At 37.9% G+C, this 27,592-nt stretch overlaps 3 pseudogenes across 1 annotated transcript, besides 1 other annotated feature; 2 read left to right on the top strand and 1 right to left on the bottom strand.

Annotated features, from left to right (window-relative positions):
* Positions 1-198: 198 nt before the first annotated feature.
* Positions 199-27,592, top strand: IMPA1P1 (inositol monophosphatase 1 pseudogene 1; annotated as a pseudogene). Its single transcript, NR_146081.1, has 8 exons — positions 199-428; positions 4,524-4,589; positions 5,281-5,414; positions 7,017-7,119; positions 9,028-9,073; positions 11,363-11,468; positions 17,648-17,755; positions 24,650-27,592. The product of NR_146081.1 is annotated as an inositol monophosphatase 1 pseudogene 1 (transcript).
* Positions 428-722: a silencer, noted in NCBI's record as "tiled region #11945; K562 Repressive DNase matched - State 4:PromP". NCBI's record gives its function as "represses a minimal TATA promoter and a strong SV40 promoter by Sharpr-MPRA in K562 cells {active_cell/tissue: K562}" and the evidence as "EXISTENCE:reporter gene assay evidence [ECO:0000049][PMID:27701403]".
* RPS26P34 (ribosomal protein S26 pseudogene 34) lies at positions 3,677-4,229 on the bottom strand (annotated as a pseudogene).
* On the top strand, positions 13,231-14,329 carry NIPA2P4 (NIPA2 pseudogene 4; annotated as a pseudogene).

The following is a 27,592-nucleotide window of genomic DNA, read 5'->3' as shown; positions in this document are numbered from 1 at the left end:
TCAACCGAAGTCATATCTCCAATTTGTGTTTTGTCAAAATGGTACTACGGAAAAATGAGAGAAAGGGTAAAGAAAGAGAAATGGGAAAAGGCGAGTGAATGGAAGAATAAAGAAGAAAAGAGAAAAATAAAGAGGAATTGAATTTTAAAAAGATTTAGAGAAGAAGGGGCAAGCAGGAGAAAAGAAGTTAGAAGAACCAGAACTGGGAAAGAAGAGGCCAGATCTGAGGCTCCTGCGCCGGTGAAGACCCGGGCCGGGCCTAGCAGAGCCTCTCAGGGCGCAGCTCGGGGCGGGGCCCAGCAAAGCAACCACGCCCCCTCATTGATGGGCTTAAGAAGCGGCGACCTTTTGGTCCCGGGCAGCCCCTCTGCCTCCCAAAGCACTGAGGCTGGATAGCACCAGGCACCCAGCTAGCAGGACAACTCGAGGTGAGGCCCCTGTTTTCCCCGCCCCGCTCGCCGACTCGAGGTGAGGCTCCTGTTTTCCCCGCCCCCCTCGCCACCCTCTCCGGGTTCGGCGCTTCTCTCTGCTGGGGTGGGGGCGAGGGCGGTCTGCGGTGTGCGGTCAGCCCCTGGGGCGAAGGCCGCATCTGGGTGACTCTTGCCTGCCACGTTATCTGGAGCTGCCCTGGGGTGACCAGGAACACTCCCGATGTTGGAGTAGCGGTTCGCGGACGCCACTGCACTTAACCCCTGTGGCAGCTTCTGTGGAATCATTGCCGCTTTTCATTTTCCCTACTCCGAAAAGCTTAGAGAAACTTGGCGCATCCCAGGCTCAGTTAGTCACCGTAAGTGATGGGGCAGCGCCCGGATGACTGGCAGCGCCAGTCGCGCTGCTAGGGACAGGTGGCCGACAGATGGCAGAGAGATCACTTACAGGTAGTCACCGTAAGAGATGGCGCAGCGCCAGTCGCACTGCTGGGGACAGGTAGCCGAGAGGAAGATGGCCTGGCTCCCACGCTGGGAAGGGTGTGACCAGGACAGAAACAGCAGGAAACAGTTCAGGTGTTTATGGATTTGGGAAAATGAAAGTGAGTAAATACGGCCCCTTTCCATTAAGAAATGTACTTGTGATATGATACATATGTGTATATCAGAATAAATGTATTACATATATATGTTTTCATCCACCATTACTGGCTCATAACTCCCATAAGCCCTTGTTACAGTCTTTTGTTATAATGTCGGGGCACTGCAGCCCCCAGAAAAATGGAATTTCTCTCTTTGACCTTCTGTCCTCCTTTCATCTGCTGCTTTTTCTCCCCAAGGTAAGGATCTTCCCCTACCTTTGTGTCTTGTAGCTGGTTATAAATAAATTCTCTGGCCTATCTTTGTCTGATTGTAGTTCATAAGACTCCCATTTCGGAAGAGGCCCCGCTCCATACCCAGGAGGAAGGAATGCTGCAAAGGGGAACCAAGAAGAATCTGAACAGACAGACCTCACTGGGTTTCCCTGGTCTATTACTATTAGATCATACAGATTTTGTGGGATGATATTCCTACACAATTATCTATCAATCATGCCTATCCGATGAAGTCCAGACTCAGGCCCTCAGTTGCTATCTACTCAAGTAACTTACATGTTTATATCTGCAGGCCAAACCTCTCTTCTGAGCTCAGGATCTATCTATTCAGCTGAATAATTGACAGCTTCTTTTGATTTCAGGGAGGCCTCATATCTCTGCTAATTGAACTCTTAATTTTCCAACCTCTTACCCACATCCCAAACTTGACTCTTTTTTTTGTTACTCCCCATTCAGTAGATGTGACCGTTATGGATTCGGTTGCCAGACTGGAAAATCTGGTCATCCTTGAACTCTTCCTCTCCCTCATACTCCATAGCCAATCTGTTACTGAGTCTCCCCAATTTTATTTCCCAAAACAGATTATCTCTTGACTCCCTTAGCTTCTCCACCAGAAAACTTCCCTCCCCAGGTTTCAGCCAATCATCAGGTCTCCTCCGCTCTACTGCATCCTGAATGTAAATCATCTAACCGTCTACCCACACCCACTTTCTGCCAGTCTGTTCAGTAGCCACAATGCAGTGATTCCTCAAGTGTCTCCCATCAAAGTCTTATCCCTGAAGTCCTGTAAGGGACCTCATTACCTGTAAGGTCCAGTAAGGTCCTACAAGGACCTGTAAGGGACCTACCCTGTAAGGGACCCCACTTCCTCCCCAGCTTTATCCCTCCTAATTCCCTTGACGTCTGAGCTGTCACACTTAGGCCCTTCAGTTAGTCTTCATGTACCAGGCATCCTGCAGTTGAGTGAGTTCATGCCTGTTCACTTGTTCTTCTCATCTTGGCTTAATCTTGTCTTCAGGGAAACCTGATCTGATGCCAAAGTCCAGGTGAAAGCTCCCCTGTTAGATGCTTCTCACTGCACTTCTCCTACTTAGCCTTTATTATTACAGTTATGATTTTGCATGTGGTCTGTGCATTTTTGATTAATATCTGAGTCCCCTCCTAGAGAGTAAGTGTGAATGGGACCTGGTTTTCCTCCCCATGGTGCAGTGTATAGGGTATAATAAGTATTCAGCAAACATCTATTTAAAGGTGAAACACATAGTGACTTCTGGGTGAAGAATCCCTAGAAGAGAGGGTAGCTTTTGAAATAGGCCCTGAAGAATTGGTCGAAGTGACATTAGTGCTGTGAGTGGCTTGAGCCATTTCTGGCAGGAAAGCAGGTGCAGCTTGAAAATGTCTAGTTCTGTTAAGACTAGTGGAGCAGAATGAGTGTCAGAATGAAAAAAAAGCTTGGTAACAATTCTTGAAGATCTCTAAGGAGTTACTTATATGACTCAGAGACTGGCCTCCTTAAAAAAATTTTTTTAATGCCTTTATCAGGAAGAAAAAGCAACAGGCAGAAACTCACTGTATTAGTCCTTTGCCCTCCTTTCCTCTTCTGTCTCTTTTCCTATAATGTAAGCCCCAACATAGGGATTTCTGAGTATCTTCAAGATGCAACTCTATGTTAGCTATTCTCCATTGTAAAGAAGACAAAACTAGGGTTGCTTTATACTGAGGCCACATTTTTGGAATCTGACAGCTTAAAAAGCTTCATTGTGCTAGGTACAGTCTTTAGAGTGTGATCAAGCCACTGATGAGTTATTCTAGTCTTCAGAAGTCAGTGGAAAGCTGGACACTTCAGAACACAAATAAATGTTGTTGTTTTTTCTCCTCTCTAATCTCAGAGTAATACATCTCATTTTTTTTCTTTTTTTATTATTCTTTTGGTCCTGGAATTTTCTTTTCTCAGATTGCCATAATAGAAAGAACAATGGAATTTAAAATCAGTTCAAATTCTTACTGTGTTATTTCTTTCTATCATCTTGGGTACAGAAGTTCTCATCTCTAAGCCTTAAGTTCTTGATCTTTATAATCTTATTAAAAAATCCATCTCCTGTGTAGAGCACCTGCCTGCCTGGCATTTAGTTAGTACATGTGCCTTTTGCTCCTTCCTTTCAAAACTTCTTTTATTTCAGTATTCCCAGTGTTCTTTCTTTTATCTTCACTTTATCCCTCACCCAAACGTTTACCTATCTATTAAAATGTTTTCTTGGGTCCTTTTTCTCTATTTCCTAAACCAGTTATTGATTTTTTTTTTCCTAAACTCCCTTTATTTCACCCAGCTATGCAAATTGCGAGGCCAGGGATATGACCACAAACAATTAAGGTTTAATTTACATGAATAAGCTTTCTTTCTGATGAAAATACTATGTGTAACTTCTCACTTGCTCTAACGCCCACAAAATCCCCACCCTATCTGGCACAGATACACTCAACATGCAATATTAAGCACAATTTTTATTTTATTTTTCTCCATAGAATAGTCCGTCTTCAGTCTTTGACTCAGCTCCTTACATGGGCTTTGGTGGGGGTCGTGGGGCAGCACCTGCAGGTCTAAATCAGGGTAGGGGTGTTCAATCCTTGCGGGCTTCACAGGATCGGTTCCTGACTACTTTGCTGTGAATTGCACAACTCACACAGTAATGTAGCTTCACATACAGTTCGGGAAGCAACTAGGCTTCGAAGATGCTTGCTTCAGAAATGTCCCTGACTGCTGTGGCCTCCACTATGTTCCGAATGTCAAATTTCTTAATGGCCTTGTCCTTGGGCATGCATTGGTTACAGTTTGTGCTGAGAATAGGCTGCACGTGGCTGCAGCCCTTTTTTGGTACAACCGTTGTTCCCTCTTTTCTTTGTCATCTTGGAGGCGTGCACCAGAGAGTGTGTTTTGTTTTTTAATGTGTTTTGGTATGGACACATTTGGAGATAATTTAATAGAATTTTTTTTTTGTATATTTCTGTATTAGTAGTGAAGTAATCCAGGTAGAAAATGTTCTTTAATTGGTCTAGGAGTAAATCTTGGAAAAAAAAATTGAACTCTGGAATAGGGCAGGGGGTAAATTCAAAATGAAAGTCTGTTGCTAATTAAGATTTTTTTGTGGAAAAAACTATTCTATAATTAAGACTTTTAGAGAATTCTAACCACTTTGTGCTGACATGTGTTAAATATTTTCAGAAGATGGCTGATCCTTGGCAGGAATGCATGGATTATGCAGTAACCCTAGCAAGACAAGCTGGAGAGGTATGAATTAAAATTTTGTCAGCCATAATGTGATGGGTGTGAAGTGTGTGGTTGCCTTATTAAATAAAATATGTATTTTGTTCAGTCTGCATTTGTTTTCCTTTTACTAAACACTTTATAGTGAGCACTTCAATTTTATATCATTAAACGTCTTGTGATCACAGTTGTGAAGCTAAAATAGGATGTTAGAATATATAATTCTGTACCTAAAAGGTCATAATTATTGAAGGCTTATGTTATAAACATTTTTATAAGAAATTCTTAAGAATATCTTTTTTTTTTTAGACGGAGTTTCGCTCTTGTTGCCCAGGCTGGAGTGCAATGGCATGACCTCGGCTCACCACAACCTCTGCCTGCCGGGTTCAAGCGATTCTCCTGCCTCAGCCTCCTGAGTAGCTGGGATTACAGGCATGCGCCACCATGCCTGGCTAGTTTTGTATTTTTAGTAGAGATGGGGTTTCTCCATGTTGGTCATGCTGGCCTTAAACTCCCGACCTCAGGTGATCCGCCTGCCTCGGCCTCCCAAAGTGCTGGGATTACAGGTGTGAGCCACCGTGCCCAGCCAAGAATATCTTTAAGGAATGTTATTTAAAGTCAGATTGAATGTTGTAAACCATTTTTGTGTTTTATCTTTTTGTTTGATTGAAAATTACTTATGTTTTTCTATTTGCCTACCAAAAACCCTTTTTAGGTGGTTCATGATGCTCTTAAAAATGAAGTGAATGTTATCCTGAAAGGTTCTCCAGTTGATTTGGTAACTGCTACTGACCAAAAAGTTGAAAAAATGCTTATCTCTTCCATAAAGGAAAAGTATCCATCTCATAGGTATTTTTTTATTTCCATTTCAAATGATAAAATGAAATCTAAGTTGGAGTTACTTATACCAGGCAAGCATTTTGATTTTAGACACAGAAATTGACTTTAGTTAGCTTAAGCTGAAAAGGGATTTATGTTGTGGGTGTGGGCTCCTTGGGCCAGAACCATGGGAGGGAGGAGGAGTATCTGAGGGAACACAGGAGCTATGGCTGAGGAGGCCACTGGTAGCCTCACTCCTGACTCTGATGGTTTGAATACTTTCTAACTAACCTTTTATCTTTACCTCATTAGTTTAAGATTACAAATTCTGGACAGGGATATGCAGTTTCTGAGTTTAGGTGCTTTGCATATGCTCAAGCTGACAGGGAGTAGGAAAGAGGAATATTTGGATTCCTTCATAGTAAAAGGAATGGTTGGGTGCTGGGAAGCTAACGTGACAAACGTCTGCCGTTGGCATGATTTAAAAGTTCAATTTCATTCTGTGTATCGTAAACTTCTTTATATGGTAGAGTGGCAGTAGCTCTAGAAAGTCTGAGAGAAAATCCTGAAATTAGAGCTCTTTTACAGGCACAGAAATTTAACAGAAACATTATCATTCTAAACTGTTAGCACTGTGATTCTGGACTTCTTCCTAGTCATGTCATTGGCCATTCCTGGTGTTTTTAGCCATTGAGAAGAAAAAATGTTTAAAGCCGTGGCTAAGTGTATTTCTTCCGAATAAAAATATTTATAGCTAAGAGAAAAAGAGATAAATAAAGATGATGATAGTGGTTATTAAGACAGTTCGGTTTTAAATGAAAGAAAATAAATAGAAAAGAAAACAGGAAAGAAGAAAACCAGTGAAGTCTAGCACCATTTATGGGATTTCCATAAGATTTAGTTAGAAACAAGTTACCAAGTGTAGCTTACACTCAAGGCAAGGGGTATTAGGCTCTGCCTCTTGATGGGAGTATTAGAGAGTGTCTGGACCCATTTTTAAAATCATGGCATTTCCTTAATGATTTCTCATCTCCAAAAACTGCTCTTGTCTGGTGTGTGTGTGTGTGTGTGCGCGCATGCCATGCATATGCCATTACTTATTCTGGTATTACATTTTATAATTTTTTTTTTTTTGAGACAGAGTCTTGCTCTGTCACTCAGGCTAGAGTGCAGTGGTGCGATCTCAGCTCACTGCAACCTCCACCTCACGGGTTCAAGCAATTCTCCTGTCTCAGCCTCCTGAGTAGCTGGGACTACAGGTGCACGCTACGACGCCCAGCTAATTTTTGTATTTTTAGTAGAGAGGGGTTTCACCATATTGGTCAGGCTGGTCTTGAACTCCCGACCTCAGGGGATCCACCCGCTTTGGCCTCCTGAAGTGCTGGGATTACAGGCATGAGCCACCATGCCCAGCCACATTTTAAAATTTTGAATTCTGTAATTTTTCACATGACTTTACTTTCAGTGAAATAAAATAAATCTTCCCTCTCACTGTTATCAGTCTTTCTAGGGACAAAGAAGCAACAATAGAAAAGTAGGGTGCAGACTTTTATATTTTATACAAGACTGTGTAGCTAAGGAAATGTCATGGTTTGGAAATTGTTAATAGGAGTGTGTCCTTCTTGCTTTTAGTTTCACTGGTGAGGAATCTGGCAGCTGGGGAAAAAGGTGTCTTAACTGACAACCCTACGTGGATCATTGACCCTATTGATGGAACAACTAAGTTTGTCCATAGGTATGTTTTAAACATTTTAGTACAATTGCTCTTCGTATATTACCTGGATAGCCCTTTAGAGTGCTCTGTGCGGGAACATACACATTTTAGAGAATTGTGCACTTTGTTTATGCATCTTTATTCTAAGAAAGTGTATCTAAAGTGAACAGAGCAAATTGTACTATGCAGACTTCTCATCGGATATGGAGGTAAAGAAATATTAATGGTGTGATCTTTTTATGTGGAGTAGCATGCCCTGTTCACCATTCTTTTCTTACTCTTGGAGCCACATAAAAATGGAAGCAAACAACCTTGCTTCTTTGAGATCGAGAAAGAAACTAATGAGGTCACTATTGGAATGCTGTCAATACAGAATGAGTTCAGTCCAGAAGAGAAAACAGGGTTAAAAATTGGAGGAGTGTTAGGTTCAACAGGCTTAGGCTTGAATTCTGGTGTTTTTAAATTGACTTTGTGACTTTGGGCAAGTTAATCTTTTTAAGCCTCAGTTTTAAAAAAGACCATATTAATGTCACCTGTCTAATAGAATTGTTTATTGATGGGACTCTATGAGTGGTACATTTATGTAAGAACTTAGTATAGTGCCTGGCACAGAGTTTAAGTATATGATATCACTAGAAGAAAGCCTGATGGAATTGTGCATGTGAGTTAAAATGAGTAGCCAACTGTGGTGGGATTCCACATAGATGTTACTTATTTTTTTTTTAAGACAAGGTCACACTCTGTCACCCAGGCTGGAGTACAGTGGCAAGATCATGGCTCACTGCAGCCTTGAACTCCTGGGCTCAAAGTATGCTCCCACCTCAGCCTCCCAAGCAGCTGGGACTATGGGTGCAAGCCACCACACCAAGCTAGTTTATTTATTTTTGTAGAGATAGGGTCTCACTATGTTGCCCAGGCTGGTCTCAAATGCCTGGCCTCAAGCGGTCCTCCCACCTTGGCCTCCGAAAATGCTAGGATTACAGGCTTGGGCCACCACACCCGGCCCATCAGTGTTACTTTTGAAGTTGCCATGTAGTTGTACACATCTGTACTATGTACAGAATAGTTAAAATCTATAAAGTTTTGTAGACTTTATATACATGATAGTGTTGTATCTTTTAAATGTGGAAAGATGCTTATGATCTAATGTAAAAGGAGAAGATTATATGATACAGTGTGTATAGTTTGATCCTATTTTTGTTAAAATAAAAACTCATATTTAGAGGTTTTTATTTGTAGTAGTTATGTTGACCCTATTTTGCCTTGATCTTGACTCTCTTGTGGGTCAGAAATTTCAACCTATGTGTTTAAACTGTCATGCAACCATAAAAATAATGGTGAACTGTCTACTATTCAGATGTGAAGTTACATGTTTGGTGTTGGAATAGAGACAAGTAACAGCAATCCTGAACAACGCAGTACCTGTGTCTACCAAGGCTCCAGGCTGCAGGAAAAATGATGAAAATAGACTCTTCTTTTTAAGAATTCACTTTAATTTTCTTAAAATTTACTTTTATTTTTTGAAAAGATATTTTCACAGTCATTAGATTATGGCATTTGATATTCAAAAGATAGGAAATGGCATACAGTAGAAGGTACCCTTGCCACTTCTGTCCCCAGTTTCTCAGGACCCATCTCTCAGGTGACCATTGTTATCCATTTCTTATGAATCCTTTCCGAGAGGTTTCATGCCTGTAGGAGCATCTTGTGTGAATGCATGTATGTGTGTATAATATGTCCCCTTCCCTATTTACACAAGGAGTTGTATACAATACACACTGTTCTGCATCTTAGATATTGCGGGGAGGAGGGATAAGACTGTTTATAGGAAAAATTTTATGAGAACTTATATTACAAAAAGATGAATTTTAGTAACTATATTAACAATAAGTTCTATCTTGGTAAACTTGTGTTTTGTCTTTTTTTAAGATTTCCTTTTGTAGCTGTTTCGATTGGCCTTGTTGTAAATAAGAAGGTATGTTGTTTTAAATGTATAGTTGATTAAATGCCTTGCTTTCGTTTTCTGGGAAAGAGTAAATGTATCTTCATAATAAATTTAGATGTCTTTATTTTCAATTCATATAACTGCATTATTTTGAATATAAGCTACAGGACTGTTAAAATGTTCATGACACATTTCCAGTGAAGAAAATGTAATGCTTTCTGAGAAGCAGGGGTTGTAAGGAGAAAATGCACACAAGTAACTGAAAGTTCAGTATTTAGCCACCATTGTATGTGTCAGAGAGTGAAATGGGATAGGAGTTTATGTGTGATCTAAAATGCTTCATGGAAAACGTGGGATTTAAGCTGGGAATGCTTCAATAGGTATCAGCGAAAAGAGCCCTTTAAAGACCAAGAATTAGCAAGGGCCAATGCATGGTTTGAAAATAGCAAGTGTATTGTGGGATCGACACATTATTGAATACTTGTGTAGAAAGCCCAGCAGAGTAAAATCCATAGCTATTGCATTTCCTTGCTGTTTGGCTGTTTGTTTGGTTAAACAGTGAAGATGTTTGCTACTATCTTACATCCCTGTCTTCGGGGAATTTTTGATATGTTCGATCAACCTGTACACAAAAACACTAAAGAAATTTCTGAAAATAAAACACAAATTAATACAAATGGAGGCTTAGCCCTAGGGTTGTATTAATCATGAGAACGTCCAAAAGGAGCTAAGTGAGCATTCAGTCTATAATCAGCCCTGTGCTGTGTGCTGGTCCTGCCATTGAACTCACAGCTCAGCACAGAGTTGGATGTGTGAACAGGTAAAGATGATATGTGGTGGAACTATTACAAAAAAATACTGTGGGAACACAGGATGTCACCAATCTGCCAAAAGTGGGTTGGGAAAATCTTTATAACAGAAGGGGGTCTTAGAAGTTGGTCATGTGAGTTGATCCTTAGAAAACTAGGGCTTTGCCAGATGGGGGGAAAAAAGGAAAAGAAAAAAGAAAAGCGTTTTAATCCAAAGAAGAGCTTGGAGAAGTCGAAGACCATGATGTGTGCATGGAACAGTGAGATGGTCATGGAGAGGGAAGCACTGGAAGTGGCCGGGGCAGAGGTTAGTTTGGCCTTACTGTAAGGCACAGTGGCCAATCTATGTGAGAAAATTTAGTTTTTGTTTCTAGGTAGTTGGGAAACAGAAGAGGTTTTGGAGTGGAAAGTGACAGATAATTCTAACAATGTACAGATTATACTGGGGTTTGGGTAATTCTGAACTAAGTAGAGGCAGTGAGAATAGCCAAGGAAATGCCAGAATTGGGAAGTGTTTTTAAGATTAAATTTGAATGATGAGATTTATGGGGAAGCAATGGGAGGTAATTAGGCAATGAGTGATTTTGACCTCCTTGATAGAGATTCTGCAAGACTAGGTTCCAAAGTATATGTTTTTATCTATGATTACGGGGTTGATGGGAGCCAAATTATTCATAAGTTGAATTTGTGGACTGGAAAGGCCAACCCGTATGAATATGGAGAGCTACAAGGGAAATGGAAGTAATGGAAGAAGGAAGAAAAGCCTGAAGTACCTAACTTTTAAGGCTGAGGCAGAGAAGGAGTTTCTAAAATAGTGACTCTGAAATGGATTGGTGAGTGAGGTAGAACTGAAAGAGTAATTCTGGAAACATGGAGGTACAGAATTAAGTATTAAATAAGGGTTGATGATGGCCAGCAGTCTCCAATTCTTCAGACAATACATTTGGTCAGGAAAGTTCACTGATATTCTCTGAGGGGCTTTCAGAAGAATAAGTGATCAGGGCAGAAGCCAAATTGTAATGTATTAAGAGGAGCACAGGAGATGCAATTGTAGACTACTCATTGGCAGTAAAGGGAAAAGGAGGGAATAACATTTTGAAGGTTTTGTAAGGGAGGGAGAAACTTGGTGAGAAGGTATGAGAAGAAAAATCCAAGAGAAGAGGTAGCAGTTGATGGAGCAGTTTTTCAGAGAATATAAGAGAGGGTAGAAATCCTAACACAGGAGGTGTGTTCACCTTAGAAAATGGAAAAACTCTGTCTTCTTCTGGAGCAGGAGGGAGAGAGGTAAGGTGAATACTATTAACTCTGGACATAGATGAGGTGAGAGTGGAGGATTCCAGATCTGTTGAACTCTTTCTCTGATTAGGCTGGAAAGCATCCTACAGTATAGCCATTTCAATCTATTATTAGTAGTATATGATATTTTCTTGTCATGATCTTAGAACAATTCATTGATTTAATGTTGAAAAATACTCAGGTTTGGTAAAGGAAACTTGTTTTTCTTCTGCAGATAGAATTTGGAGTTGTGTACAGTTGTGTGGAAGACAAGAGGTACACTGTCAGGAAAGGAAAAGGTGCCTTTTATAATGGTCAAAAACTACAGGTTTCACAAGAAGGTAGGTTTATTCTCCAATTTTTAGTGCAATTGATATTGTGTACTCATATTTTATTGTTCTTTTAATATTTACCTATGGAATTCCCCAGTTGTTAAGTGATTCATAAACTGTTTATTTTCTCTTTGTTCTGTTATTTCAACTTCAGTTTTGAATGTGGAGTGGAAATAGGGAAAGCAAATGTAATTGAGCAAACACTTCAGGCTCAGCATTGGATTTGGCGATGGAGATAGGAAGATGATTAAGACTGGCTTCCTACCCTCGTTTGAGTTCATGGTTTATGTATTAGCCATTGTAGCTAAAATTCCTTATAGAATTCCTCTGATCTGATGCCATTGTGACAAATTACTGGAAAGTAATTTGGGGAAAAAAGTCAATTAAAGATGGAATCACTTATAATGATACACATACATTTTACATGAACTGGATGATTGGCATTTAAAGTCTTCTTCCTCTGTGACAGCTGTCGACCTAAAAGAAGAAAGCTCAGGCAAAATTAATATAGAGAGTTTATTTGGGCCAAGGTTGAGGTCTGCAGCCCAGGACGCACTTCTAGGTTGTCTTAGAGAGTGCTCCAGAGAACTAAGGAGAGGCTCAAGTTTTTAAAGAAAAAAGGATAAATCAGAAGAAGAGGTCATTTCTAATGCTTTTCAGGAATTTTCTTTGGTTTACCAGTATCACATTAATTAGTGATTGGCTATACATTGTTGAACTATAGAGCATATGGCATTTTATGGCTACTTGGCATCAGTTAGTCTAGAGCCTGCATAGCAAGTGGCTTCAAGAAACAATTATTTAGCTCAAGGGGGAGTGAGACTGACTGCTAGTATACTTTAAATGCCTCTCTGGGCCTGATAATTTAAAGGGGCTGACATTCCACAGAAAAAAAGTCTTTTTTTTTCCTTCTTTCTCACAGCCGATTGAAGTTTTGAGCTACGTTTCTTCCACAAACTACATCCAACATTTTCCAGTTTGCACTTTGAGATTCTTTTAAATGCAGCAAGAATTTAAAGATGCTTGCAAAGCAATTTGAGTTCAGAATCTTCCTAGACTTTTATTTAATTTTTCTCCTCAATCACTTAATTTGAGAGCAGATTTTTAGGTCATTTTCTTTTTATTGAATTCTAAGGCCCCAAAGATTGGTTGAGGCGTCCTAGTTTTCGAGATGTTAACGTGAAAAAACGTGCATCTTAGAACTGAAGGAAGCGGGGCTTCTTGGCGCTTCTGAAGGGAGAAAGCTGCACAAGGATGCCGCCAGGAATGCTCGCACCTCCTACCGGGATGGCCTGCGTAAGACGGGGCGGTCTCTGTGCGGGTGTGCGGGTGTGAGCCACGGTACCCAGGGCCAGATCGCAGAAGTGAAGCTGGGAGGCTGGCCTGCAGACTGGGGTGAGGTCGCCACTCCTTCCTTTCAGGCTGGAGCTACTCTGCTAGGGTTTAAAAACTTGAAATGAGAATAAAGGGTAGTATTTACGAGAAAATGAGAGAGAGTAAATCATATCTAACCTCCTCCAGCCTTTTTTTTTTTTTTTTTCATAAGAGACCAAATAAAACTTACGCACTCTCCTAGCTGTGATTGCCCTTCAGTTACAGAGACTGAGAGCGGAGGGAGACCAGGTCTGAGATAACAAAGCAACTCATTCCTTGAAGGACATTCACACTGATGTCCTATTTTCAAACTATTTGAAAATTGCATCATTCTGCCTCCAGTACTGGCAGTTTCTCTGTTCTGTGATCAATGTGATTCACAGGAACATTTTGTTAAATGAGCCGAGGGTGTGGAAAATATGACTTTTATATTGGTCTGGGATTAGCTATGAGCTCCAGCATTTTCACTGGAGGTAGTTTCATTTGGGGAGGGGAAAAAAAAAGGCTTTCTGCGACTTGCCAGAAAAGGTCCTCTGAGAGCAGGTCAAGGTGGCCACGCATATCCTAAAGAATGGTTGTGGTGGGCTAGACTGCTGTCAATGGCAGCTGGCGAGGTGGCCAACTCAGCTGCATATGGGTTTGCACCGGCCACACTGGTGACTCCACTAGGAACTCTCAGCGTCCTAGTAAGTGCTATTCTTTCTTCATACTTTCTAAATGAAAGATTTAATCCTTACGGGAAATTTGGATGTTTGCTAAGTATTTGAGGATCTACAGTTACGATCACTCATCCTCCAAAAGAAGAGGATATTGAGACTAAATAAAATATCTCACAAGCTAGGTGATCCAGGTTTTGTGGACTTTGCAACACTTGTGGTCATTATGGCCATGATATTAATCTTCCTGGTGGGTCCCCACCAGGGACAACGATCTTGTGTATGTAGCAATTTGCACATTTGTGTATGTAACAAATTGGCACATTTTCAGTCTCCTGGGTTAAGAGCCTAGGCAGTGCTATCAGAGAGCTGTTTGCTGGAAAGCCTGCACTGCCACATCCCCTGGCCTGTGTTCTGCTGCTAAGCCTCATTGTCTGTGTGAACACATAGATTAATTACCTAAATTGCGCCCTGGATATATTTAACACTTCCATCATGACTCCAATACATTACATATTCTTTACGACATCAGTTTTTAAACTTGTTCAGCTATTATTTTTAAGGAGTGGCAAGATATGCCCATTGATGATGTCACTGGTACTTTTGACTGGCTTTACAATAATCGTGGGGATATTCTTGTTGCATGCTTTTAAGAGTGTCAGCTTTAGTCTAGCAAGTCTGCCTGTGTCTCTTCGAAAAGACAAAAAAGCAATGAATGGCAATCTCTCTAATATGTAAGAAGTTCTTAATAATAATGAAGAAAGCAAAAGCTTAATCTGTGGAATCAAACTACACACTGGTGAAAATATCTCCTGAAGAAATGGAATTCTGACAGCTTTTTAAGAAAGATATAATTAAAAGGTTAATCTGTAATTCTGTTATAAAGTGAATGTGAATATCAGAATATGTCTGAAAAAGCACTGTTCTCAAATAATGATCTTTAAAGACAATCCTTTTAAAGGTTTCACTAATTTGAACTAAGAAATCACTTTTCTGGTTTTTTTGTTTTTTTTTTTTTGGAGACGGAGTCTCACTCTGTCACCCAGGCTGGAGTGCAGTGGAATGATCTGGGCTCATGGCAACTTCTGCCTCCCAAGTTCAAGCGATTCTCCTGCTCAGCCTCCTGAGTAGCTGGGACTACAGGCACGCCGGCTAATTTTTTGTATTTTTAGTAGAGATGGGGTTTCACCATGTTAGCCAGGATGGTCTCAATCCCCTGACCTTGTGATCCACCCTCCTTGGCCTCCCAAAATGTTGGGTTCACAGGCATGAGCCACCGTGCCCGGCTCTACTTTTCTGAAATTTAAACAATGGTAGCTCACCAAAATGAACTCAGTGCATGACTAATTTCTATTAACATTGTATTACTGTAGAGATTTTTTTACATTTTGAATCCTTATCCAAAATCTAACACTGCTTAAAATGACAGTTTTAAGTGTATAAAAATGCTTTATTTTTTCATTGGTGATGAAAGTCTGAAATGTACATTTATTTGTCATCCCCACTTCATTAATCCCTAATCATATAGGCTTTTTGATTTTAATAAAGAACAAAATTATCCCAAAATTATCCTGTGATTTACCTTACCTATTATAACAAAATATAATACATATATTTTATAGAAAAGTTAAAATATAATATATATTATATTTATATAAAAATTATAATTATATAAATATAATATATATAAAATAGGTAAGGTAAATCAGAGGATAATCTATATAAAATAGGTAAAGTAAATCATAGGATAATAGAAATATGTATGAACCAAAGAAATGTGGTAGCTTTCATAGAAACAACTCTTTTCCTTTGCATAATTATTCTTCACTTTACAAAGTATTAAATTATTTAACTATTAAAAGTAGTACAGCAAAAAGAATAAAATGCCTAGGAATACAGCCGTCAAGGGAAGTGAAGGACCTCCTCAAGGAGAACTACAAACCACTGCTCAAGGAAATCAGAGAGGACACAAACAAATGGAAAAACATTCCATACTCATGGATAGGAAGAATCAATATCATTAAAATGGCCATACTGATCAAAGTAATTTATAGATTCAATGCTATTCCCATTAAACTACCATTAACATTCTTCACAGATTTAGAAGAAGCTATTTTAAAATTCACATGGAACCAAAAAAGAACTCATATAGCCAAGAAAATCCTAAGCAAAAATAACAAAGCTAGAGGCATCATGCTACCAGACTTCAAACTACAAGGCACAATAACTGAAACAGTATGGTACTGGTACAAAAAGAGACACATAGACCAATGGAACAGAATAGAGAACTCAGAAATAACACTGCACATCTACAATCATCAATCTTCAACAAATCTGTCAAAAACAAGCAATGGGGAAAGGATTCCCTATTTAATAAAAGCTGCTGGGAGAACTGGCTAGCCATATGCAGAAAATTGAAACTGGACCCTTACACCTTATACAAAAATTAACTCCAGATGGGTTAAACCAAAAACTATGAAAAACCTAGAAGAAAGTCTAGGCAATACTATTCAGGACATAGGCACGGGCAAAGATTTCATGACGAAATCGCCAAAAGCAATTGCAACAAAAGCAAAAATTGACAAATGGAATCTAATTAAGCTAAAGAGCTGCTGCACAGCAAAAGAAACTATCATCAAAGAGAACAGGCAACCTACAGAGTGGGAGAAACTTTTTGCAATCTATCCATCTGACAAAGTTCTAATATTCAGCATCTACAAGGAGCTTAAACAAATTTACAAGAAAAACACAACCCCGTGAAAAAGTGGGCAAAGGACATGAACAGACACTTCTCAAGAGAAGACATTCATGAGGCCAAAAAACGTGAAAGCAATCTCAACATCACTAATCATTAAACAAATGTAAATCAAAACGACAATGAGATACCATCTCACACCAGTCAGAATGGCAATTACTGAAAAGTCAAATAACAGATGCTGGCAAGGTTGTGGAGAAATAGGAACACTTTTACATTGTTGGTGGGAATGTAAATTAGTTCAACCATTGTAGAAGACAGTGTGGCAATTCCTCAAAGATCTAGAACCAGAAATACTATTTGACCTAGCAATCCCATTACTGGGTATAGACCCAAAGGAATATAAATTATTCAGTTACAAAGATACATGCACACATATGTTCATTGCAACACTATTCACAATAGTAAAGACATGGAATCAACCCAAATGCCTATCAAAGATAGAATGGATAAAGAAAATATGGTACATATATACTATGGAATACTATGCAGCCATAAAAAGGAATGAGATCATGTCCTTTGCAGGGACATGGATGCAGTTGGAAGCCATTACCCTCAGCAAACTAACGCAGGAACAGAAAACCAAACATTTCATGTTCTCACTTGTACATGGGAGCTGAACAATGAGAACACACAGACACAGGGAGGGGAACAATACACACAGGGACCTGTCGGTCGGGGGTGAGTTGGGGGACAGGAGAGCATCAGGAAAAGTAGCTAATGCATGCTGGGCTTAATACCTAGGTGATAGGTTGATAGGTGCAGCAAACCACTATGGCACACATTTACCTATGTAACAAACCTTCACATCCTGCACATGTACTCTGGAACTTAAAATTAATTTTAAAAAGCAGTACAACAGTTACAAAAATGCTGACAAACACACCTGGTGAACATATATCTTGTCTGATGGGAAGAGGTGAAGTGTGGGGTGTCAAGTGTGTCCTGAGCTGCAGTCAGGATGTTTCAGAGGAAAATGGAAAGCCTTGGATAATTTGCCAGCTTTGTAAATGGAAGTGAGAGAAGAGCTACCATGTAATTTTCATTTTTGTTTTCTTTCAAATCTATATATAAGTTCGCTATTGAATTTAGTTTCTAACATCTACCTTTTTGTGTTTAAGATATTTGCTCATTTTTCACTACACGTATCATGCCTGCAGGCAAATTGGTTATATTCTGTACATTTGGGGAATGGTCTAAGGAGCTGGACTCTTTTTGATGCTTATAAAAAGCTGACTTGGAAATAATAAGTTTATCAGTTTTAATATTTTAAAACTTAGAAATGAATTTGATAAAACTAGGAAGAGGGATAAACATGTTATATTTTCTTCTGAATAAAAGTGTCTTTTTTTAGAATTCTAGTTATTAAAATCTAGTGATTATTTAAAACATTTCCTTTTTAGATATTACCAAATCACTCTTGGTGACCGAGCTGGGCTATTGCAGAACATCAGAAATTGTAAGAACTATTCTTTCCAATATGGAAAAGCTTTCTTGCATTCCTATTCACGGTGAGCTCTTTTCATTTTACACCTAAAGTTCTAGATCATTTAACATCTTAAAATAATATATTTTCCTTTAGAAATGAAATATTAATAGAAATGGGATTGGTACCATAATTCTAATTTTGTAATGTAGCTTTGAAATGTTTTCTTTGAAAATAATTTCAAACATAACGAAAAGTTGTAGAAATAAAATAGTGCAAAGAACAATTGCCTTTTTTAATAGATTTGCCTGTTGTGAATATTTTACTCCATTTGCTTTATCATTTAATTATTCTTTCTCATCTTCTCTCTCTCTCTGTATGTGTGTGTGTGTGTGTGTGTGTGTGTACACACACATTTTTTTCTCCCTCATTATTTTAGAGTATATAATACTGTGTTTTTTTCTGTAACCACAGTACAATTGACTTCAAAAATATACTTTTTGTCTAATCTACCATCCATATTCAGTCTTGTCAGTTTTGTCAGTAGATCTAATAATATCCTTTATAACATTTGCCTTCCACTGGTACAGGATTCAGTTTAGGGTGAGCATTACATTTAGATGTCATGTCTCTTTAGCCTCCTTTGATCTGGAACATTTCCATAGCCTAAGAAATTACTCATTTCCTTTAAGTTTTCAAATTATTTGCATAGAGGTCTGCAAGGTAGAATTTTATAAACAATTTCTGGCTTCTCCATATCAATAATTATTTCCCCCTTCTCACTTATTTTGTGTATTTGTGCTTTTTTTCTTTGTTCATGTTTTTAGTCTTGTTACCTAGTGGTTTATCAAAGACCCAGAATTTTGATTTATTTACTGTTTTTCTCTTTTCCACCCTATTATTTTCATCCTTGTGCTTTCTTTTTGTCCACTTTGTTTTCTTTTTTCCCTTTTGAGTAGAAAATTTTAATTCTTTGATATTTATTGATAAAAGTTTTTAGGCTATGAATTTTTATCTGATCACTGCTTTCAGTATCTTCCATACATTCTATTTATTGTTTTCATTATAATAAGTATATTTCATAAGTTCTGTAATTTGTTTGTAGTTCCTTTTTCACCCAAGAGTTTAATTCTTAAATTTTCACAAGGACAGATAGTCTTAGCCTGTTTTCTGTTGCTTATAACAGAATACCTGAAACTGAGTAACGTATAAAGAAAAGGAATTTATTTCTTTCAGTTATGGAGGCTGAGAAGTCCAAGGTCGAGGGGCTGCATTAGGTGAGTGCCTTCTTGCTGGTGGGGATTCTTTGTAGAGTCCTGAGGTAGCACAGGGCATCACATGGTGAGGGAGCAGAGCGTGCTCGCTCAGGTCTCTCTTCCTGTTCTTATAAAGCCATATTCCCATGATAACTCAATACGTCTTATTCCCATGAGAACTCAATAAACTACTAATCCATGAATGGATTAATCCATTCACAAAGGCAGAGCCCATACAACCCAATCTTCTCTTAAAGGCCCCACCTCTCAATACTGCTACTGGAGATTAAGTTTCAACATGAACTTTGAAGGAGACAAACACTCAAACCACAGCATTCACCCCTGACCCCCAGAACTCATGTCTTTCTCACATACAAATTCATACATTTCATTACCATTATCCTAAAGTCTTAACTAACAGTTTTACAAGAATATCTTAGAATTGCTTATTCTGCATAAATTTTCTATTTAATATGTAGATACATATCTTCTTTACTTATGGAAAATTTCCTTGAGATATAATTTTAAATATTATTGCACTTCGGTTATCATTTTCTTCTTCAGAGACACCAATATGAATATTCCATCTCCTTGTGTCTTCCATTTCAGCTGCTTTCTCTCAGTCTCTTTTTCTTTTATTGCTTTTCCTGATTTTCTTTAAGTTTTCTTTTGCATCTGTGCCCTTTTGGGCACCTTGTAATTTATTCTTCATTTTGTCCCCATTTCTTTCCTGAGTTCACTTATCCTGTTTTTTTTTAAAAAAATTTTGTTTCATTTCTGCTTTCAGTCTCTATTTCAGATTTAACAATTTTTTTTCATATTCACAACCACAAGTATTTGAGGCCATTTAACTCAGATTGTATTGATGTTTCAGTTTTCTTCTGCTTCATTATTGTTTTTTATTTTAAAAGACAGAATGTTGTTATTTTCTTTTGTTGTGTTACAGCAGCAATTTAAAAAAAATTTAAGTTACGGGATACATTTGCTGAATGTTCAGGTTTGTTAACATAGGTATACATGTGCCATGGTGATTTCCTGCACCTGTCATCTAGGTTTTAAGCCCCGCATGCATTAGGTGTTTGTCCTAATGCTCTCCCTCCCCTTATCCCCCACTCCCTGACAGGCCCCAGTGTGTGATATTCCCCTCCCTTGTCCATGTGTTCTCACTGTTCACAATGTTGGTTTTCTGGAGAGACTTCAAACAAAAAGAAACCCATTTTTATTAGCAATGTCTGATGTTTTGCAGGCTTGTGGGGATGTGCTCTACTTTTTTCTATTTTGATTCATTTTGTTATCAGGGCTCCTTGGTTCAGAGCTCTGTATTTTGTCAGTTCTGCCCTTCTGTGTAGTTTCCTTTATGATATCTTTTGAGTGGTTGTGGTAGGCAGGGTTGGCTTGTCTTGCTTATCATTGATTTCTGCAGGATCCTTAATTTTTCAATCTTAGTCCCAACTTTTCTTTGAATACTTGGTCTCCAAGAGGTACCACCTCTTCTGTCTTATCTGATTCTCCTCCAAAATCACAGTTTCCCCGAGGTAGCTGGACTGTGAATTACCAAGGGCTGATCTGTGCTCAGTGTCTTTGCATTTATTGTCTCACTTATACTCGTTTCTGAGGGTGGTTTTTTCTGTGTTCCCTGTGGGTCCTTGGCTCCTCCCTGCTCTCCCTCACAAAGTCTTTTCTGCCTCTTCTCCTCCACTCCGTGTATCCACAGGCTAGGAATGCTGTGTTAGAATTAGTTTGTTTGCTCTTTCTTCTGCTTACAGGTAGTTTGAGATTTGTATTTTCCGATTCCTAGAAATGCTGAAGGAATAGGTCTTGTGTGTTTTATTTGTCCTCCTTTTTGATTTTATTTAATTTTATTTTTCAGGTGGGTAATGGGGAGTTTCAAAATCAGCATGCCACTATTCCTTTCTAAACCTCAGAGTCCTTCTGTAATCAGTTTCATAAATGAAGAAATTAAAAGCAAATATCTATCCTTACTTTTATGTTTACATTTTCAAGAAAAGCTAGAGTTTTGAAGTCTTTAATATAGTTATGCTATATTAAATAGAATTTCTGACCTTTATTGTAGTTGTTTGCATTAAAAATCATAAATTTTGTTATTCAACAAAATCTGTTAAGTTTTGAATAACAGATATTTTACTGCCTACTGTTTCTACCTTTTTTCCTTTTGAAAATATCATCACTGAGTTATAAGAGTCTTAAACCTGATCAAAGATCATCTAATAATCCAGCCTTTTTTTGTAGGTGAGTCGACTGAGGCTCAGAGAGGTGATGTGGTTGCCTTAGATCGAACAGCTGGGTGGAAATATGACTAGAATCCTGGCTCCCAGATCATTTATCTTTCTCCAATATTGGACTTCTCTTAGGAGTCGGGACCTTAAAAATATAGTTTGGCCATGTACAAACTAATTTTATACTATACATCTTTGTTCTATATAGTAATGAGTAAAGCAAAAGAGAGAGAGCCTCTGTCAAATAGCTACAGAACCTCCCAGAATGATGTCCTTGAGGGAAGGGCAATAAACTTATTGCTACAGTGTGCTGTCTTGAAGCAAGGACTGTAACCATGGGCTATAAAATGGTTATGTTAGTCATAAAAGAGCTGCAAGAGGTTTACAATTTTAACCTTTAATTTTGCTGTTGGATAAAGTAAAAACTAATTTTTACTTCAGGATTTTTTCAGAAGTGTAACCAGGGAAATATTACCAAGGAGAAGTTCTGACATTGATTTAAGATCTTTTGCATTCAGCTGCTTCTTTAGTTTAGCAATGTGATTTCAGAGTTACTTATACAAAACAATGAAACTAAAGGGAGTCATAATCTGAATGAATGCTTTAAACAAGCAGAAACAGTCTAATAGGTTCCTGACTAGGAACAAATATTTTTAAGACAACAATTATTGTGGCTCAATTTCCTTTAATTTTTCAAAATTTAATTAGATGAAATGTACCTGGTATATATTTTCTGGCATCATCTTTTGAGAATAATTTTGTCATAAACATAGCTACTTTTTATTATGTATCTTTTATATGGCAGGCACTCTTTTGGTGCTTTACAAATATTATTTGTAGTTATTGTAACAGTGATCTAAGGCAAATTGGTATCCCTATTTGATGACAAGAAAGCTAAAACTCAAAGAAGAAACTTGGTCCAGATTTGTTTTTTTGTTTTTTGTGATGGAGTTTCACTCTTGTTGCTCAGGCTGGAGTGCAGTGGTGTGATCTCGGCTCACTGCAACCTCCACCTCCTGGGTTCAAGCAATTCTCCTGCCTCAGCCTCCCAAGTAGCTGGGATTACAGGCATGTGCCACCACACTAGGCTAATTTTGTATTTTTAGTAGAGACAGGGTTTCACCATGTTGGCCAGGCTGATCTCAAACACCTGACCTCAGGTGATCCACTCTCCTTGGCCTCCCAAAGTGCTGGGATTACAGGCATAAGCCACCATGCCTGGCCCAGATTAGGGTTTTTAAGCAGCTGAGCATGGAACAAACTCAACTCTTTGTGACCCCAAACATAGGCTTTTTTATGATATACCCTATTAGCTGTATAGGAGGATCAGATTAAGATAGGATTCAGAAGGCACATTGTAGAATCTATACCATAGCCTTAATTACCTGGTAATATAAGTAATCTCTTTGGTAATATTTGCTCACAAAATATATGCTCTAGCTGACTACAAGACTCCTTGCCTGAGATCCCATGATGTGCATTAGAAGTGATGGAAGCACCACTAGTTGCTATCACTGTTGTTCTGCTAGCCTAGGATTCTCTGAATAGAATACTAAGGGATTACTTGTAGAAGATCTTGGTCTTTGCTTTCTATAATATGAGATATCAGCTATCACATATCTCATATGAAAAGGGGAGAAACACATCTTTCTTTATAACTGAAAAAATGCCACAAAAGCTAATTTGATTTCATGCATTTGGGAAACAAACATCTTGGAAATTTATTGCACCTCCTAGTTCTTTCTTAAATTAGATGTGCAGCAAAAACATAGGCAGGAAAAAATTCCAAATCAAAGACATTATATCATTCTAATCCTTTTTTTAAAAAGTCCCTTTGAGATGAAGGATGTACTTAGGTGCAATATTTTTTACAATACAATACAAAATAAATACCACATTTGTAATCAATTTATCATTACTTTTTAAAAAAATAAACTGGGAAAGATCTTGGTAAATAGAACCCACTGCTTTATTTCCAGAGCTTTAAACAGTCACAAAAGGAGTTTGAATAGAAACCATTTGCAATTAACTTGCAGACATAATGATCTTTTTCTTCTAAAAACACATTTCAGTGTGTATTTCTTTAATAAAAAGGAACATTGTCTAACACAGCCACAGCACAATTATAAAAGTCAGGAAATTAACATTGATACATAATCTAATATAAAGACTTTATTCAAATTTTGAAAAAAATTTTAACCCAATGTCCAATCCAGACTCATACATTGATTGCATTTAGTTCTCATTTCTCTTCAGTTTCCTTTAATTTATAACTTGCTTGGTCTTTCTTTATCTTTTATGACCTTGACATTTTTCAAAAGTATAGGCCAATTATTTCGTGGTCTATCTCTTGATTTGAATTTGTCTAGTTTATTTATGATTACATTTGGATTATGAATTTTTGGCAGGAATGTCACAGAAGTAATGTTCTGTACTTCTCAGTGCATCATATCAGGAGGCACATGGTATCTTTTTGTCCTATTATGGGTGATATTAACTTTGATTACTTGGTAATGGTAGATAGATCATTGTAAAAATGCTATTTTTTCCTCACTGTACTTATTATATATCTTGTGGAGAGATACTTTGATACCAAAAATATCAAACTTTTACCCATTAATTTTAACATTTATTGATGATTTTTTTTTTTGAGATGGAGTCTTGCTCTGTTGCCCAGGCTGGAGTGTAGTGGCTCGATCTTGGCTCACTGCAAGCTCTGCCTCCCAGGTTCACGCCATTCTTCTGCCTCAGCCTCCTGAGTAGCTGGGACTACAGGTGCCCGCAACAACGCCTGGCTAATTCTTTTTAATATATATTTTTAGTAGAGATGGGGTTTCACCGTGTTAGCCAGGATGGTCTCGGTCTCCTGACCTTGTGATCTGCCCACCTTGGCCTCCCAAAGTGCTGGGATTACAGGTGTGAGCCACCACGCCCGGCTGATGATTCTTTACTGAATAAGTTATTACTATAATTGCTATCAAGTAGTATCTTACTTATTCTTACTTATATCTTACACATTCATCTTACCTTGCTGTATTTTCAAGGAAGAGGTGCTATGAGAGGAAAAACCTGTAGTAATCTTTCAAGAGAGGCCTAGGTTTGTGCAGAACCCAGGTGGGTTGCAATCCCTTTAGGTCTAGATATGATGCACATCCAGTTGGGAATGATCAATATCATGATACTTTATGCTCCCTAGAGATTATTGTGCATTGTGTATGTGTGCATGTGTGTGTGTATCTGTGTAAAATAAGCTGTGGTTGCCTTGGGTTTAAAAAAATATGAATATATTTGCATGCTGTTATAGTAGAATTATAGCATTATTTTTAGGGCTTTTTTTCTGCAAAATTATTGCTTTCATGTTTATCTTATTAAATTATTGCTTTGTGAGGATTAGTTTTGGGATTTATATAGTATATCACGATAACTGGATTTTATATATTTTTATTTTAAGATTAAATACCATCTTTTTTTACATTTATTCTCTAGATTGGTTCAACTTATCTCAATCAACATTCAAACTGAAGTTAGGAGGAATACCTTACTTGAAAGGTTATTTTTTCAATCTGCCATTTTTGAATACTATTTTTGAGGATCCAGAGTGTTGGAACAGCAGCTACTAATATGTGCATTGCGGCAAGTGGAGGAGCAGAGGCATTTTATGAAATGGGAATTCACTGCTGGGATATTGCAGTAGCTGCCATTATTGTTACTGAAGCTGGTGGCGTGCTAATGGATGTTACTGGTAAAATTATGAGATAGTGAATCATTTTTCCCTTTACATCTCTTGGACTTTCCTCTGTATATGGAGTTTAAAAAAAGTTTGATACATATGATAGCTTGGATTTTAAGACAAACAGGCTATATAATTTTGTGCAAAATCAAAATAAACATTAGGAGATAGAGGCAAGGATGAGAACTAATGGCAATATGGGACTGATAGTGATAAATGGCTAAGCCTTTTCAAATGTGAGTAATAGGAACTCCTGAAAGGCTGTTGAGAAAGCCTAGAGAGTCACTGACTCTGAGGCTTGTATTTAGAGTTCTTTGAATGCTGACCATTGTGATAGTTGATGATTGACTTCAGTCCTCCACCATCACCTTCTGTGTTGGGACTAGAGAAGTTAAATATTTGCTTTGAGCTGATGGTGAAATTTTTGAAGTGAAGAGTGAACCTGGGTTCAAAGAATTCACCAGTGATCTGAGAGAAAGGCAACAAAGAAATAAGGAAATGGGAAGGATAGTGGTATGAAAATTAATTGGAGTCACATTTTCTGTCCATAGATTCTTAAACAGTAAAGAGGTAATAACAGTGTATATACACACACACACACACAAACAAAGAAATAGAGAATAGATGACATTTTCAGACTAGCATGACTTGAGACTCCCTCTCTCCCCCACCAACCTTGCCAGTAAATACCAAAAAACTGGTATTTTAAAAAACATATACTTAGAAACTCAGCTATGGATTGCCAAAGCTTAAACATTGTAGTTATGTGACAGTAGATTTTTAAAAGAAAACTGAAAGTATTAAAATGTCGTGATTGACCATAGTGCACATTGCTGTACTTGTTTGATATAAATTATTTTTGTACCAGATATAACTATTTACCATACTTGATTTGTTTTAGGTGGACCATTCCATTTAATGTCACGGAGAATAATTGCTGCAAATTGTACAGCATTAGCAGAAAGGATAGCCAAAGAAATTCAGGTAGCACCTTTTCAATGAGATGATGAAGATTAATTACAGCAGCCTCATAGTCAATCACAGTTGCTTTTCCCCAGATTTGCTGACTCACTGTGGATACGTGTTTCAGATGTATTATATGCTTAGTTTAAATTGTCTTTGTCCAGATTAAGAATTTTGAACTTGTTTCATATTTTACTATGGCTAGGTTTGCAAGAATAGACATGATGTTTACTTCATTGTTTAAAAAAATTGCATGTAAGAGCTTTAGGAAAAATACACAAAAAGTATAGTTGATGAAATAAGTATAACATCAACTGAAATAGTTAGCAATTTTGCATTTCTGAGTATCAATGGTCTGAAATTTTGACTTGCTATATATATGTATGCCTAGACACTCGCTTAGAAAGTTACCTATTTGGAAAAAAAAATTGTTTGGTTTCAAAAGCCATATTTAAATTTGTAAGGATATATTGAGTACTTCCTAGACCAAGGTTTTTTTCTTTGCAGAGAAACTTTTTTGTTTTATTCAGTGCTCATATAACACCTAGCACCGTGCTTGTCAGTTAGCAATCAAAATTAAACATTGTAAGAATGAATATTTTGAAGTCATCAATTCCTAGTTATTATATAGAGTAGATACATAATGAGCTCACCATTCTGTACTTTTGCTGTATTTTTCATGATGATGTGAATTTTGAAGTAAAAACAGTCTAGTTATATTTTGTATATTTCACATTAACATACTGCCAGATAGAGTTGCTTATTGTAGGCATTTCTGCGATAAATATATTTTCCAAAGCACTTAGTTAAGGTATGTATTTTAATTTGCTTTAAACTCCCTAAGAGAGAAGAAACTGTTCCCAAAAAGCACTCTCATCAGATATCTGATATATTTAGATACAGTGTAACATTTTACTCATTTCAATAGTCACATTTCAAAGATGTTGATGCTGATTTATGTTGGCAAATTATGCATTATTATTAATATTCAACTATTTGGTTTCCTCCCAAATCCTTATATAATTTCATTGTAACTGGATTCCATTCAGCCTTTAAGTAAGAGAATAGATGACATTTTTCAGACAAGTATGACTTGCAATTTCCTCTGTCTCACACCAACCTGGCCAGTAAATACCAATAAATATCTTTTTTCTTTTTTTTTTTTTTTTGAGACAGGGTCTCACTCTGTTGCCCAGGCTGGAGTGCAGTGGCGCAATTTCAGCTCACCACAACCTCTGCCTCCTGGGTTCAAGTGATTCTCCTGCCTCAGCCTCCTGAGTAACTGGGACTACAGGTGTGCGCCACCATGCCCAGCTAATTTTTGTATTTTTAGTAGAGGTGGGGTTTCACTATGTTGGCCAGGCTGATCTCAAACTCCTGACCTCGTGATCCACCTGCCTCGGCCTCCCAAGGTGCTGGGATTACATGCATGAGCCACCACGCCCAGCCACCAATAAATATCTTAATCATCCTTGGCCAACAGAATGGATTTTTTTTAAAAAATGTGGTCTAATCACATGAAGAATGTTCTGTAGCAATGAAAAAATAGACTCCAGTTACACGCAATAATGTGGATGATTGCAATCTGGCTGAAGCTCTAACTTCCAATGGTTCTGCACATTTTGATATCACCAACGATATCCTAATAATTTACAGAAGCCAAATTGTTTCTGCTTTGAACTTAACCTCTCTTCAGTCCTTCCCCCTTGCTTGTTTTGTTTTAAAAAAAAATCCCA

Source organism: Homo sapiens, chromosome 8, assembly GCF_000001405.40.
Source record: "Homo sapiens chromosome 8, GRCh38.p14 Primary Assembly".
Lineage (NCBI taxonomy): Eukaryota > Metazoa > Chordata > Mammalia > Primates > Hominidae > Homo > Homo sapiens.
Note: the sequence above shows the minus strand (reverse complement) of the source record. Positions and strands in the feature narration are given on the sequence as shown.